This window comes from Homo sapiens, chromosome 8, assembly GCF_000001405.40.
Source record: "Homo sapiens chromosome 8, GRCh38.p14 Primary Assembly".
In the NCBI taxonomy this organism is placed as follows: domain Eukaryota; kingdom Metazoa; phylum Chordata; class Mammalia; order Primates; family Hominidae; genus Homo; species Homo sapiens.
In genome coordinates this window covers 17,967,518-17,984,626 of record NC_000008.11, presented here as the reverse complement: position 1 = coordinate 17,984,626, position 17,109 = coordinate 17,967,518, and the positions used below count along the sequence as shown (strand labels likewise).

General features: G+C 35.5%; 1 protein-coding gene across 31 annotated transcripts in view; it reads right to left on the bottom strand.

Annotated features, from left to right (window-relative positions):
- PCM1 (pericentriolar material 1) overlaps positions 1-17,109 on the bottom strand; it is a 106,961-nt gene that overhangs the window by 45,322 nt on the left and 44,530 nt on the right. For 18 of the 31 annotated variants that reach the window (NR_148032.2, NM_001352648.2, NM_001352645.2 and 15 more), the window contains 2 exons: positions 14,879-15,050; positions 11,940-12,298 (listed from right to left, as the gene is read on the bottom strand). Coding sequence is in view for 30 of the 31 variants with exons in the window: in NM_001352648.2 (NP_001339577.2) it covers positions 11,940-12,298; positions 14,879-15,050 (531 nt within the window). In the remaining variant the exon portion in view is untranslated. Of the gene's footprint in view, positions 1-3,871; positions 4,058-11,939; positions 12,299-14,878; positions 15,051-17,109 lie in introns of all 31 variants that reach the window. The other 13 variants (NM_001352650.2, NM_001352635.2, NM_001352653.2 and 10 more) reach the window with 2 other exon arrangements.

Sequence of the window (17,109 nt, the reverse complement as noted above, 5' to 3'; positions counted from 1 at the left end):
ATGGAAAAAGAATGTGCTCTAATAGAAAAATTTTCCACTACTTGGCTAATAATTTAATATCTTCAGGTCTCAATTTCCACAAGCATGAAATAATAACATTACTAATATAAGATATCAATAGAAAAATATATTAATTATATGTAACAATAAATATGCAACTTCCCTATTTTGCCTCAGTTACAGGTATAAAATCAAGTGATACACTAAAGTTCTCGTAGTTTTAAGGTATGAACTATCACAAAAATGACACTTATTATAATAAGCAGGAACCAAAATTATCTCTGTAAGCAATCTCTTCTAATGGGAAAAATCCAGGTAAAAAGAATTTTGATATGCAAACTTTTATCTTATATACTATATTGCAGTTTAATCATACTTAATTTAAAAAATTCATTTCAAAGCTATAACTGTTTAATGACATATTTAATACCTCTGTATGTGATAAAATTATCAATCTAAATTGCGTATCATTAAAAATTAAATTATTCTCAAATAATGAATATGCCATTTAAACACAAGCTTCATTCCCCCACCACTTCTGCAGTCAAGAGGTGGAAAGTTTATGCCAGTTTCTCCTCCTGAACTGAAATTTATTAGCTTTGGCTGGAAAAATCCCTAATCTTAATCAGGTTTCTCTAATTCCATCTTGTTTTTATATCCTATTTTCAGAGTTCCTTATTTTCAAAGTGCCACTGATATATTCAGCTTTGTCAGTTCTGGATCCTTGTTTTGTATCTTTAGATTCCCCTAAAGGTTCCATTCAAACTGGCTTTTACTTTTCATTCATGTAAAGCTGCAAGAGGAGTTAAAAAAATATTTACAACTCTAAATCACAAAGAACCACATTTAATGAGAATACTTATATTAGAGACTAAAATAGTATTTGGGAATCTTTGTAATTTCCATGATCTTTATTTATCACGTCTTTGCATGTAATCATTGTTTTGTTTGATGACTTTTCTAAGATGCTGACTGAAATGGAAAGATAAACTATAAAAGTAACTATATTTCTAGGTCTAAGAAATACTAATGCTTTGAAGAAGTACAAAATAACCTCAAATCAAGTACTAAACCGTAAAAAAGGTTTCTGTTACCCTTATGAATGTGTTAGGTTACATACACTAACAGAATATGAAAACAAAAGCAGCAAATTTTACCAAGAATTATAAATGAATGGGTTCAGAATTTTATGAATATAAATTATCTTTTACAATAGTCACATAACATATATACTCTCAGCTAAATTTAAAAAAGAAAAAAATCAGGACAATAAAACCTTTAGGACCAATGGGAAAAAATTAACAAAAAGTGGACACCAAAACTACGCAGATTGTTACCTGGCGCTTCATTGCATGCATTTCTGTTAGACTGCTGTAGTATTCTCCTAGCATGTGCTGTAGGAAAGGGCAGACATAAGGATGAACATAAAATGTGTATGAGTAGTAAAGACAGGGTCTATAACATGAATAAGTGAATGAAAAAAAGAAATAAGCGAATTTCTTTAAAATTGTTTGCCTGAACTAAGGCTTACGCTCTACTTAAAAATAATCTCAAGAAAAAAAATCTCAAAAGGTTTGCTATAAACGTATATTAAGGCGACCGATGATGACTATCATAATAAACTTCTATCATTCATTTTTAGAAGCATACACATCAAGGTGAACCTCCCACAACACCCACGGGAGAAGAAGACTGCGTAATTTAATACTAGCAGTCCTATTATGCTATACTCTAATAATCATATGTTATGAGTACAGTTACAAAAAGTAACATGCCTTACATGCTATAAGGAATTTTAGGGTAATGATTAAAACTAAAAATAAATCTTTTCAGGGCTGGGCATGGTGGCTCATGCCTGCAATCCCAGCACTTTGGGAGGCCGAGGCGGGCGGATCACGAGGTCAGGAGATTGAGACCATCCTGGCTAACACAGTGAAACCCTGTCTCTACTAAAAATACAAAAAATTAGCCGGGCGTGGTGGCACGCACCTGTAGTCCCAGCTACTCAGTGGGCTGAGGCAGGAGAATCGCTCGAACCCGGGAGGCAGAGGTTGCAGTGAGCCGAGGTCGCACCACTGCACTCCAGCCTGGATGACAGAGCGAGACTCGGTCTCAAAAAAAAATTTTTTTTTTAATCTTTTCAGAATGTAAATATGTAAACTTGTGTATATTTATATATTCAAACATTTTTTAATTCACCAAAATTCAATCATTATATTTCACTAAGTAACAGTAATAGGGCCTGAAGTACTATGTCCAATTATTATTTAAGTAATTGATACTCAGTTTATTAAGACTTTCAGTTTAGTGTCCTTCTTCGACCTCTACCGGACTGTTTATTTTTTGAAGATATCACTATTTGGTAGAGAGTAAAAGGAGATGAAAATTATAAAATTTTAGTAAAATTCTGGGTTCAGAAGAATAGGATTGATATTTTTGCAGAAAGGAACACAGACTTAACAGAAGCCCAGCTTCTAAGTTCAGCTTTACCATTTCCTAGCAATGTAAGCTTGAGAAATTCATTTCAAAATGCAAACAAATGTGATGTTTCTTTTCTGATTACAAAATGATAAATGCTCATTATGAGTTTAAAGATGATAAAACCACTATTAACATTTTGATGCATTTTCTTCCGGCCTTTTTGCTTTCAAATTTTTGTTTATACATAGTTGAAACCATACTGTTGAGACAACACTAAATCTTAATGTCTTTTTTTTTTTTCCCCTTTTGTCTTCTTAGGATGGATTACTACAAGTACAATTACTGGATTAAGGGCATGACTTCTGAAGCTTTCCAGGAAAGTTGTACCAGTTTACATTACTGAGCCTTTATGAGTACTGAAAAACAAAACAAAAAAAAGTTCCCTCTTTGACCATGTTTCCTCCGAAAAATGGAAATAAAACCAACTCAGCATTATGAGGCTCAAATGAGATTTGTTGGTAATTTGAAAATAATGGAGCATGGTACAAAAGATAGCTGCTGTTATCATTTTTAAACAAAAAACGCATGCATTTTATACTAATGTCAATGAAAGCTACTAGATTAAGGTCTATCCACTATAGTCTAATGTCATGTTATTGCCTCTCTCTCTCCATATTTCTTTGAGATGCTCTTTACAAATTAGGAAACTACTGGTGCTTTTATCTGCTGCCAAGGGACTCAAAAAAGTGACAAACAGGGAAATACTATAATAATGTGATTAAGGCAACAAAATAGGTTTACACAAGCTACAAGGAAAACAGGAGAAAGGGGAAACTATCCTAGCTTGGATTAGAATGGAGTTTCAGAATTAAAATTGTATTAAGAGTCCAGCAGAGAAACGAACTTACAAAAAAGGCAGAAAGGACTTGAGATAGAAAAACAGCTACCAAGGTAAGAAAGAATGTGATAGCTATACAAAAACTCCAGTTCAGTGCCACAGAAAGAAAAAAGTTCAAGGCAGAGTGTGTTGAGAAATGAGTCTGGAGAGGCAGGAAGGAACCAAATCCCTGATGGCCATGTACGTTCCATGAAGGCATTCAGACTTTATCCTGTAGGCACAGTAAGCCAAAGGATTGAAGCAGGAGATGACATGATTTCATATCTAATTCTTAATCAGATAAGATTTTCAGAATTTGAAGAGTTCCACAATTGTAACTATCCTTTGTTTAGAATTTTATTAAAATGTGTCCAAAACTATTAAATAGTATAACACAAAATATTTTCAGTTTTTATTTTTCAGTATCAAGGAATGTGTACTATAATTTCCACTATAAAACCTTCCACATGATAGATACGTGTGAAACACCAATTTTAACACCTGCTTTATTATAGCTTTTCAAATCTAAGCTGAAAACCTCCTTATATTAATGCAAACCAAAAAAGAACATACCTGAAGATATTTCTGTAGACCTATTACATTTTATTATTTTTTCCAGTTGCTCATGATTCTTTCTGCTGAATACTTTTGCTTGAACAGGCTCTTCAGTCTGGGCTGAATGTCTGTTCCTACTTTTGCAAGGTTCACATGTGCTAGACATACTGGCACTTTCATACCCTTGAGTAAAAAAAGTGACAACTGTTATCAGTTGCAACTAACTCAAACTAAAAGGGAAATCGGTTTCCATTGTGTAACAGTACAGGTAACTCAATTTACAATGCTAGGAAGGCCTGGTATAAATAGAATACAAAACAGTAAATATGTCTTGGAGGTATCTTTGCAATACCCTTTGGAAGCATGAGCTAACAGTAATAAATCTAACCTTCACTGTTCTTTGATACTCATCTTAATGAGTATATTCCAATTCGAAGTATATGGCAGACCTTACATGACCCCAAATCTCTACTAGAATTCCAAGTTAGCAATTTTTAATATTAGGAGACATAAGAATCACATCCGATATATACAAATATCCATTATAGAGGGAGAGTAGTCAAATACATTTGCCTTTCTTATTGTTATCTTTTATGTGACATGACTTGGTTTAAAAGGTCTTACCCACTGATAGGTTATACATATATTCTATAAAATTTTCAAGTTTTTAAAATATTTTGGTATATATACAAGGTAGAAATTCCTTTTTTTTTTTTGTTCCACATGGATAGGTGGCTATACCTACCCTCTTTCCACTGAATTAAAATACACATCGGTCAATATATTAAATTCCAATATTTGGGGTTTTACTTTTGGACATTTATGTGTTCAACTTAGCTATTCCAATGCCATTTTTATTCATTTAGAAACACAAGTTATACAGGATGATCAAATATCTGCTAAGGCAAGTCCCACTAGCTTCACTTTTTTCTTGACTATTCTTGGGCATCTGTCCTTCCACATAAGCTTTGTTGTTTTTTGTTTTTAATTTTAAAAACAATCTCTGGGGACTCAAAATGGAATCAAATTAAAAGTATGTATTAATCTCAGGAGAAATGGTATTTAATAATCTTATGCATTTCCATCTTTTCCATCTTAAGAACATGGTTATGTTTTTATATTTGTTCAATCTTTCTGATGTTCTTCAAAAATACTTTATAGCTTTTTATAGACCTAGTACTTTCCTTGTTAAATTTGTTCCTTACATTTCATACCCCCCACTCAAACACTTAGAGTACTACTATGAGAAGAGCGTTCCTCTCCACTTTCATGCTACTGGATATTACAACAGAGAAAAATATTCACACACTTATTCCATAACCAGCCACTTTAACAGTTTACCTTGTAACTCTAGGAGCTACTTTCCAGTATCTCTTGGGCTTTCTTAGTATACAAAAATGCCACTAGAAAAGAACACATAAAACTTGCTTCCTTCCTTTTCCAATATTTACTACCATTATAATTCCAATTATTTGACCTAATGCTTCCCAAATAATGGTAAATAATGATGGTGGGACAGAAGGAATCCCTGTTTAGTTCCTAACTGAGATAGAAATATCTCTGGAGTACTTTCATTTACAATGATGTACACTGGCTAACAGTCTTTATTACACTCAAATAACTGCTTTTTTTTTTTTTTTCTTTTCTTTTGAGACTGAGTCTCATTCTGTTGCCCAGGCTCAAGTACAGTGACACAGTCTTGGCTCATTGCAAACTCCACCTACCAGGCTCAAGCAATCCAACTGCCTCGCCCTCCCAAAGTGCTGGGATTACAGGCATAACTGCCTTCTTATACCCATTTTACTTCAAATTCTCATGAGAATAGCTTCTATGATTATTTGTCCCTTTGATAGAATAAATTATGTTGACAGATTTCCTGGTAACAAATCATCATTACATGTCTGAAATAAACTCTAGTGTTGATAGTCTAGAATTCTTTTGATACAATGGCAGATTCAATTTGCTAATATTTTATTTTTACTTTTGAATTTATATTAGTGAGACTGATCTACTGTTTTCTTTATTAAACTGTTCTCTGTCTTCTTTATCTTCCCCTGTATAAAGGTCTCTATTTTGATTCACAGGTTGTTTCTTTAGTTTTCCTCAGATAGGATAAACTAGTATCTCCTTTTCATTCTGACATGTGGAGGGTCCTTTGGCTGAGTACAAGGTTCCTGAGTTGCAGTTCTTTGTCAACTGTGTAGCGTCATTCCACTTTTTTCTACTTCTGCTTGTGTGGTAAGGAAGATTGCCTGGTGTCGGTTTGGTTCTTTTTCTTTGTATGCAACTTGGTCTTTCATATGGAAGCTTAGAGGATTTTTACTTTTTCCTTGGAATTCAGGGATTTTGCCAGACTCTGCATAGGTGTTTGTGTGTTTCCCTCACTTCTCTCCTGGCTAGACAACAGCCAGCTGTTCTGATCTGCAGTCTCAAGTCTTTCTTCATCCCATCTATTATTTAGTTATTGCTTGTCCACCTGGTTTTTTATTTTCCCCTTCAGAACTTCTTGTAAGTCTCTAATCGTCTTCTCTTGATTTTATCTGTTAGTACTTTCATTCCATTTAATGACATAATTCTTCCCCCTGATTTTCTAGGCCTGTAATTTGGAACTTAATAGCACGTGTCCTCTTTTTTAAATAATCTAAACATTAAAACTTAATGTCATTTTTTTCTAGCTCTAAAGAATTTGTTATAATTCAATCTGCTTATGTGCCCTTATTATTTTGTTCAAGTGTATTTGTTCAATATTTTGTTCAATAATTCTATTTTCACTAGGTTTTGCCTCTTTCAGTGGTCTACTTCTGTTTTCTCCCTGGTAACTAGGTCCCTTTTATATGCACTGTTATATTCACTGGCCTAGTCATGACTCTCACCTTCTCTTAAGGCTGGACCCAAATGCTGGATAGCTTTAATAATGGCAAGATGAGGGTGCATGGAAGTCTCATTCCTGTGGTCAAGCAACATTTTCGCTAGCAAGCTGTCAGTCCCTCATCAAGACAATGAGAGGAATCTTCTCTACTGCTTAGTCTCTTCAGCTGCAAAGACTAATGCTCTCCCATGTACAGGGTTAAGGAAGACTGCCACCTACTTACTCAATAACCTTTCTGCCAACTAGTAGCTTGCAGTAGCAAAACACTGCTACTCTTGGGGGTAAGGGGAAGGGTTAATAACAGGAGGAATTGCAAGGATCTCCTCCAACATAGCTTTCTCCAAGAATCATGGAGATCTGACCATGCTCCTGACACTCTAGGAAAAAGCCAGCAGACCCTAAAGCCTTGCTTGCATCTTCCAGATCACCGCACAGGTCTACTAACAACAAATAATTTTCCCAAATATTGTCAATTTATTATCTGTGATATCCCATCTAGATTCAGCCCTCCCTCTCTATTTCCAAGGCCATTATGTAAGACTTCATCATCTCAACTTTAGGTTCCAGGTTTTTTCACTGGTCTCTCAAACTAAAGTTTAGCCTCTGCCACCGAGTCTGCATGAAATTTACTGAAAAGAGAGACCTCTTGATTATTATTGATCTTAATATAAAACCAGCAATAAAGAGTATGAGTGCCAAAAGCAATATGTAAAATGACATGACTGGTAGTACTATTGCTCATTTAATAACATACAATGATCTAAAGAAAAAGATTTTAAGTATGTTATTCTAACATGAACATTTATATAAGTGAAATTAAACATTTAAATGCTGTTACTGTATCACATGAAAAGTGATGAATAAATTTTAATCAAAATTAAAATGCACTTAATGTGGCATATACGAAATTCTCAGTGGGGAGTCCCAATAGGTACTTTAAAAAGGAATACATACAGTCATCCTCCAAAATAGCTGAAACTGTGAAGAGAAGTAGGCTATAATTATTAAGATGCTACGAAAAGAGAAAAAAAAAAAACTGGTTTTATATATGAGTCCCAAATTAAAAACATCAAAGGCTAGATTTCCAAAGTTAAGGTACTAATGTGTGACTGATGAGAGATAAGGATGTTATCGCCTATGCCACTTCACCACTCTTTCCCTTTCTCATTCTGTTTTTCTCAGCATGAGGGGGTGACATTAGTAGAAGAAACAGTACTTCTACTTGAGCCTCCACTGAAGGGAAAGAGATCAGCCATGGCACTCTGGAGACCTTGCACATGTCCAAAGAGCGCAGAGAGGTTAAGGTCTGAATCACAGTGCAAGCTGTCTTGGCAGAAGGCCATGGAATCATCCTGGAACATGGACAAGAGAGGCTTGTGAGAAGTTGCTATATGGATGGACGTTTTCCACTCACCTCTCTCTTGCCCCAGGATGCTTCTGTCAGGAGAGTTTCCCATCTCCTCTCAGGTTCTAATGAAACATGAGACCTTTCTTCCTCAACCTTGTAGGGTACATTTGCAGACTAAACAGGCTTAGCTGCAGTATAACAATGATTCCTCAGCAACAGGGTGTCCCACCATTCAAGGGACAATCGTTAGCTAGCCCCTTTTATTTCGGTGTCACTCTTTTCAAGTGTGAGACAAGGGGCACAGAGAAATGGCACCTTGGACTACTTTTTTCTCTGCCTAAGTAATTAATAACTGTCTAAATTCAAAAAGTTGACTAGTTGTTTACCAGCCAAATCTGTCAGGCCTTGCCTTGCCTAATGTTTCACGTCCATTTCATGTCCATCTTCATTAGTGTGCAACAGGAAAGGGAGGAAGGAAGAAATGAAAAGATTCAAGGACAGTAAGAACCCAGAAGGCTGTACCTTAACAGTTCTATCCAATTTTCCAAGAAAAGAGTGAAGAAAATCTTGGCTACTACTAATAATATCAGAAGAGTATAGTGTAAACAAATTATAGGTCTGATAACAGAAAAACTCAGTAAGGCAGGAAATCACCTTCAACTCATAAGGTCTAAGTCTGAACTCAAGTTTAAAATACGATTATTACATAATTTATATATTCTTACCTCATATGCAATATCTATTTTCATATATAAAGACCTTCTAAGGATTAAAACACATTACCATCATGGGAAACAAAGTTATATGAGATTTATCAAGCTACTTCTGAAAGAATGTCAACATGCACAAAAAACACATATATATTTGGATCAGTCTAGTAAGTATGGGACAGTATAACTGGCTGTACCATATCTCTCAAGACAGCAGTGTAATTCCCACTATGCTGAAATATCTGTCATATCCGTTCCCAATTCCTCTCATCCTGCTTGTTCCCCACTCTATACTTTTCTTACTGTAGTAACAATTTGAAAGGCTTTCTAAACTTTTCCCCACCCACCTCTATTTACCACTTCCTTTAAGATATAATAAAAATTGGTCGGGCGCTGTGGCTCACACCTGTAATCCCACCACTTCCGGAGGCCAATGGGGGTGGATCACCTGAGATCGGGAGTTCAAGACTAGCCTGACCAACGTGGAGAAACCCCGTCTCTACTAAAAATACAAAATTAGCCGGGTGTGGTGGCACATGCCTGTAATCCCAGCTACTCGGGAGGATGAGACAGGAGAATTGTTTGAACCCGGGAGGTGGAGGTTAAAGATACAGTAAAAATCCTTTTTTCTAACAAATCTTGACCATTCCTATAGCACAAAAGGAACAAAAACCACATAAACCAGTGTTCTAGTTCAGTACTTTTCAGACTTTCACGTACATATCTTCATACCAAAAATCTTGCCAAAATGCATACTGAAGAAAAATACATACTGATTTAGTTGGCATAAGGTGAGGCCCAAAAGCACGCATTTCTAATAATATCCCAGATGATGTAATGCTGCTTGTCCACAGTTCAGAGTTTGAATAGCAAGGATTGAGCTAATTTGATTTTACCCCATATTACTTCGGCTCTGCTATGTATAGTTTGATTCTGCTATCAAGCCTTTTATTTGTGTGTGTGTGTGTGTGTGTGTGTGTGTGTGTGTGCCTTAAAGTGGGGCACTCACTGACAGATGGTCTTGAATGCTTGTTGAGCAAATGTGACTGTACATTTCAAACAGCAGGTATTTTTATACTTCAATATGAAGGACAAGAGCACAAAGATCAGAATGTCAATCTTTGTCTTGAAGTTAAAAGGCTGAATTATATATTTGGAAAAGTAATTCCCGAGAATAAAGGGGTTTCAGAAAAATTAAAACATACCAATATTTCTAGGGTTAGGTGGTCATAGCCATAAATTAGCTAAGGTTCCTGTAAAATCTGCTACTTGAAGTGTAGTCCACAGACCAATACTGGCAACACAAGAGAGTCTGTTAGGAAGGCAGACTCTCAAGTCCCTTCCAAGTCAAATGAATCAGAATCTGCACTTAAAACTGTATTCCTAAGGAGATTCATGTGAAACTCAAGTTTATGAAGTATTGCCCTATCAGATTCAAATTAACTATCTGAATGAGACAATGCTGAAATTTAAAATGTCAGCTTTTCTTCATTTATTTATATGACAAAGAGCATCTCTGTGAGGGCAAAGCACTAGGAAATAGAAAGTTCTGAGTTGCCTAACGGCCCTGTCTCTAAATGGCCATTATCTACTTAAATCTTCTCTGGTAGCACCAACAGTAATCTTGGAAAAGCGCAGTAACTTTCTGAATAGCTTCAGATTACCAATTAATTTACTAAATAAACCAGCTTCTCCTAAACCTTTATAACCAGAAAATTACTTCAAGGCTGATAATGTGTATGCTAAGAAAAATGTCACCTCTTTCACTCCTGTTCAAACTTGCTTTTTAAACCATCCGTCAGATTCTTCACATGGGGTTCAAGGTAGGAGCCAAGGACTTCAAGGATAGATGAATTACTGAAATTTTTAAAAATGTGCCAATATTCTCTTGTATCTGTGGTTTTCATTAGATTTTTCTAAGGTTTCATTATCCAAAAGTGATTAAGATGAAGGTTGCCAAAGTTTACAAGTGTATTTTCTTACTACAGGATTTCTCAGGGCATTTACTATACTTGTATGTGTTGTGAACTTCCAAGAAAGGGAGTTAGCAGTGTGCAATGCATTTCAAACTTTCCTGATTATAAGCCTAGAATACTTTGTTCTTAAACACCAATTTTTTTTTTTTTTTTCTGACAGAGACTTGCTCTGTCACGCAGGCTGGGAGTACAGTGGCATGATGTTGGCTCACTGCAACCTCTGCCTCCCAGGTTCAAGCGATTCTTGTGTCTCAGCCTCCTTAGTAGCTGGATTACAGGCACGCCCACCATGCCCGGCTAATTTTTGTACTTTTAGTAGAGATGGGGTTTCACCATGTTGGTCAGGCTGGTCTCAAACTCCTGCTCTCAGGTGATCCACCTGCCTCAGCCTCCCAAAGTGCTGGGATTACAGGCATGAGCCACCGCAACTAGCCTTAGGCACCAAATACTATCTCCTTAAACTCAGAACAACCTTTCAAGGCCATAGCCCATCCTTTGCAAACATAAAAAGAATATCCTTCAGCTGTAACACTGCAGATTTTAGCTAATGAAACTATTTTTAACCTAGTACTACACTTCAGTAAATAATTCAAAAATCACAGAAAACCTATTTTTGTAAGAGGTATGACTAACACCATAAAGAAAATTTTAAAAAAATTTTTTAAACAACTTTAATATGACATTCAATGGCAAGACTGAGTAAAATATGAGTTTACTTCCAGAAGGACTTAAGCCAGCCTGTTTTAAAACTGGTTTTATCATATGATATTCAAAAACTGCAATGTATTTAGAAGCCCACTATTCTTTAAACTAATCAATCAAGAATCCATCTAAAAGTCATGACCAAAGAGTTGGATGCAGGATCTGATACAATAGCAAAAGAAAAAAAATAGTAAACGTGGGCATTTGGCAATTTTTCAATAATCTACAAAACTGAAGCTTTAAGAAGTACAAAAAATAAATGCCATGTTTTACAACATTAATCCAGAAAATTAAACCCTATTTCGAATATTATTTTGTAAAAAAAAATTATATATATAAAGGTAACTAAAAATGACTGTTCAACTAAGTCTAGAACAGCACCTGCACATCTAGCCTTACTGAAACTATATCTATGTCAACATGTCAAAGTAAGATTACCAAAATTTACACTGATCAACATTCAACAAATTTCAACACTTACTGATGTTTTTAACTCTGCTTTTCAGCTGAGTAGAATTCCTCTTCTTACTTTTTGACTTGGGAGTTTTATCTTTAGATGCCAGGCTGGCCTGTGCAGACGCTTTTCTTGTCTTGAATGTTTTAGTCACTGTTGTTGGATCTACTGGATCAGGCATACTGCTAAAGCTTTCCAGTGATTCTTCATCAAACTGGCGTCTTCTTCCGTTTGTATCTAATTGATTTTTGCGGTTACTACTTGTAGATTTTTCTACAGACACTGAAAATCCAGTCTTGATAAATGGTTTCTCTACTTCACCTTCTTGTTCATATAACCATGGTGTCCTACTGCTTTCCACCTCCTCTTCAGGCAGTTTTTTATTCCTTACCAATGAAAACAAGTTTTTATAAGTTAACAACTATAGTTTACAAAAACTCCAAATACACTGAATTTATAGTCTACTCGAGTAGATTTAGGTGAATAAAATTGTCAACAGGCTATAAAAATGTTTTCACAAAAATACACATTAAATATGCAAATATCACATAAGCTAAGGTAGTAAATTAGTTTTAATTCTGGACCCATCTCACTAAACCACTTTTACTGGCAAAAGTTCCTTATCAAAGATCTAGCATTAGCAATGGAAAACAGTGGGAAAGAAAAATCAGGCTAGCTGCAGTGGCTCATGCCTGTAACTCCAGCACTTTGGAAGGCGGAGGCAGGAGGAATGCTTGAGCCCAGGAGTTCAAGACCAGCCCAGACAAGTTGGTGAGACCCCGTCTCTAAAAAAAATTTTAAAAATGAGCCAGGCACAGTGGCATGTGCCTCCAGTCCTAGACACTCAGGGGGCTGAGGCAGGAGGATCCCTTGAGCCCAGGAATTCAAGGAGGCAGTGAGCTATGATCGTTATCAACTGTACTCCTGCCTGGGTAACAAAGTGAGACCCTGCCTCTAGAAAAAACAACAAAAAGAAAAATCAAGGGAGGATGGGATATACAAGACCCAAAAGTTGGAAGAATGGCTCAAAAAGAGCTATAGCAGAGGGCTTGGGAACATACATGGATTTGTGTTCACCTAAAGCAGTTCAAGTAGAACAAGAATTTGGTGAATACAATTGGTCATTCAATTAGCAATTTATTTCTCCACTCCTTAAGTCCGTAGTTCTATTAGTCTACTGTCATTTCTCAAATTTTATCTGCTGAACACTAGCATCCCTTAATATTTAATAGGTACTCATCGGTCGTCTAGGTTGGGGAGAAAACACATAAAACAAAGTTAAACAGGTCTGTAAAATATCTCACAACTTTTAATATGCCAATGTGCTTTATAAATCTCTTAAAAGTGGTAGTGGGCAACAAGTCCAAAACTTTATCACAGAACCTAGCGTGAACAACAACACTGCTCCTAATAGTCTGGGAGACAGTGACCTACAGGATTTAACTCAAGACAAGGGTTAGAAACCTGTAACTTACAGACCAAATTCAGCCTGCTGCCTGTTTCCATATGACCTGAGAGCTAAGAATGGCTTTTATATTCTTAAATAGTTGGAAGAAAAAAAGTTAAAAGTTTGTGACAAATGAAAATTATATGAAAATAAAATTTCTGTGCCCATAAATAAAGTGTTATTGCAGAACACAGCCATACTCATGTTTACATATTGCCTATGGTTGCTCTTGTGCAAAACTGTCACAGATGAATGGCTATGATAAACACTATATGGCCAGCAAGGCCTAAAATACTATCTAGTCTTTTATAGGAAAAGTTTTCTGACCCCTGAATAAGACTACAGGATTTTATCTGACTTTTTATCTCTAGTCATTTAATTCCATGAAATTACAATAGTTGAGATTTTGGGAAATGAGGTCTAATCTGAAGTAGGCCAAATATCTAAAATAATATTAGACATTCAGATCCATCCTAAAAATGATATAAATAATTTAAAACCAGAGTAATTTTTTACTATCAATTATATGAAAATAATGAAGTAGGGACATTCTAATAGGAAAGTCTATTCACCGAAGCTTTGAATAAATGTTTACTGCTCGTGATGGATATTCATTCAACAATCATTTCTGAATGGCAACTGTGAACTAACACTGTGTTAGGCTTCTGACAACAGAATACCTTTATAGAGCAACATGAGATTTAACAGGAAAAAGATAGAACAACCAAAAAAAAGGAGTCAACAAAGTAACGGATGTTAATCATAGCACTCCTAGTGGTGAATACAAAGTTGGAATTCTCAGAGTTATTGGTTAATCGAGTAAAAAAAAAAAAAAATCCCAGTTAATGACTCAGTAATTAAACAGTGTCAAAATGCTAATATAAGAGCCTGAGACCTTCCTAATCACATAGCTAAAGAGAAATATAATGTGAATTATATATATTTTTATGGAGTAGGAAAGACAATCAGAGAGATACATCTGACAGACTAGGTTCAACGGAGCCAACCTTTCACACTGAGTCAAAAACTCTGTTTCAGAAGAAATCCTAAATATCATTAATACCATGCATCCTCAAAACTTATGAGACAAAAGTTGTTTTTATAATCTAATAGTACTCAACATTATATTTGAATAGGCTTTAGGAAGTGATTCTAATCAAGAGCTAGGAATCAAAAAAAGGGATCATCACTTAACAACTATCTTCTAGCAGTTAATATTAGTTTCCAGCCCTAAGTCATTGAACAGCAAACTGCTTTAACCGTAAAGACAGGTATCAAATTAGAGACAAAACAAATCCTATGAGTTACGCCACATCCTTCCAAACAACTTTTAATGTACCAGGGTTACCAGGAAGTATCTGGCATCTCATCTACTGATACGTCAAAGTTTCATATTTCCAACATCATCAAGCCAAATCATCACAAACGTCCTCCCTAGTTGTGTTTTCAAATTACACATAATTAGATGTAATCACAAAAGTGAATGTTTAAGCAATAAAAGACTGTTTACAATCAGTACCTTGGTTTCTCTGCTCCAATAGAGGAACTGCTTTCAAAAGGTTTTGGAAAAGCCATATATTCTGTTTTTCCTGAAGAATTCTGGGCTAAGGGTTGCTGCTGTTCACTGGGTGTAGAGATATTCTGAGAAAAATCTCCAAAATTAGAAGGAAATAAAGGGCTGAAATTCATACCTAATCAGTAAAAGCAATGGGTAAGAGAAAAATAAATAAATGTCTTTAGCTTTAAAATGAAATTAAAAGACAGTTTTAATTAAACATGTCATTCAAATCCACCAAAACAAAAAACTGTTAATTAAAAAAAAAAGCTAATATTTATCCAATCACTGTTCACAGCTTAGGCCACTATGTTTTAGGCATTGGTCAAAGACAATTAATAATCCCCACTCCCTTAAGAGCTAAAAGTTAGAAATAATGGTACCTGACATTTATCAATTACTGGGTGACACACTCTACTGCAGGCACTTTACATGTTACTTGGTTTAATACTTAAAACCAAGTAACTTATAAAATAGATACTGCATTCATTTTACCAGTGAGCAAATACGGTTAGAAATCAAACGTCTAATAAATGAAAAAGATGATTAGATCTCAGGTCTGTATGACTCCTACGCTTATGTTGTTTCTACTCTATTTTTATTGGGAAAGTAGAATATAATTAAATACTTACCAAATACTGTTATGTATCAGAGCTATTTGCAAGAGGCTACTAACAACGTGTGGGGAAAGAGACTGGGAAGGTTTCACAAAAATTGTACTGTTAAGAAGAATGAAGAGCCTTTATATAGAGTTGGTGTGGGTATGAAGTATATTTTAGTAAAAAGGAAGAGCATTTGCAATTTCTTATTACTTAAAAGTCTACTCATGTGATGTTTGCTGCCAATATTAATTGACACCCAAGAACTAAAAAGTCTCTTAAATTTTTTATGCCACTGTCTTGAAAATCCTATAAAGAAAAAACACTGTGGTGTGTATATATATATATATACACACACACACACACACACACACACACACACATATATACATCCATATATATACACATTGCTGGGCATAACACTGTAATATATGTATGTAAGAAGTATTGAGTACATATATATTGTGATTATATATATATATATTCACAAAGCCCTCTCAACCTTTTTTCTCCTCCTATATTCCCTGCCAACACCTTTAACTCCTCCTCATGATTCACCTCATATAATCGGTCACTTAACTTATTCACTCTATCACTATAATGTCTTTCAGTTACTCCTTTTTCTTGATCCCTACTGACAAGGCCTAAGGCCAAGCTATCATTCTTTCCATATTATTATGACAGCCTTCTGTTCACCAGCTAAATCTTCACTCCTTTCCTCCAACTTCTCCCGAACACTTTCACCAGTGTAATCTTTCTAAAATATAAATTTCATGTTATCCCTTGCTCAAAGTCCTTCAATGGCACCCTCGTCTGCAATATAAAACCTAAGCTTGTTTGCACATCATAAAATCTCTCTGCCACTCTTCAACCACATCAATTACTCTTCCCCTAAATACTAGCCACACTTAAATACCTCTAAATTCCCTGAGTGATGTACTATTTCATTGCTTTATAACTCTAAGTGGTTCTATTAGAAAGCCCTTTCATTTCTAATCTCTCTGGAAATAAATTCTATTCATTCTTTAGCTTAAATATCAACTCTTTTTTTTTTTTTTGGCGGCGGAACTGATTTGCTGACACTTCCCAGCATTTGCACTACTGTTATGGCACCCGTGGCACTGTACTATAAGCATTCATTAACAGCATCCTCACTAGACCCTGAATTCCTTAAAGGATCAGTGTCACTCATCTTTAGATCCCAGTAACTTACATAGTGTCTGGTACATAATGAGTGCAGAAAAAACCATCCAAAGAAAAGCTTAAGCTAAATGTGCTCTCCTTTAGTCTATTAGCATCCCCCTAACAAGACATGGTACTCCTTTAGGAGAGCACTGTCTTATTCATCTTTACTCTCCCAGCGTTTTACACAGTGCCTAGTATACAGCAGCCATTGAACAGGTTCTCTTTCCTCTTAATAAATAGTTGAAGCAATCATTCCTAAGTAGTTTACTTAATTTCATTAGCAACCGTATTATTAAAGTTTGGTTTAAAAGGAACAACGTAGGCTGGGCACGGTGGCTCATGCCTGTAATCCCAGCACCATGGGAGGCCAAGGCAGGTGGATCACCTGAGGTCGGGAGTTGGAGACCAGCC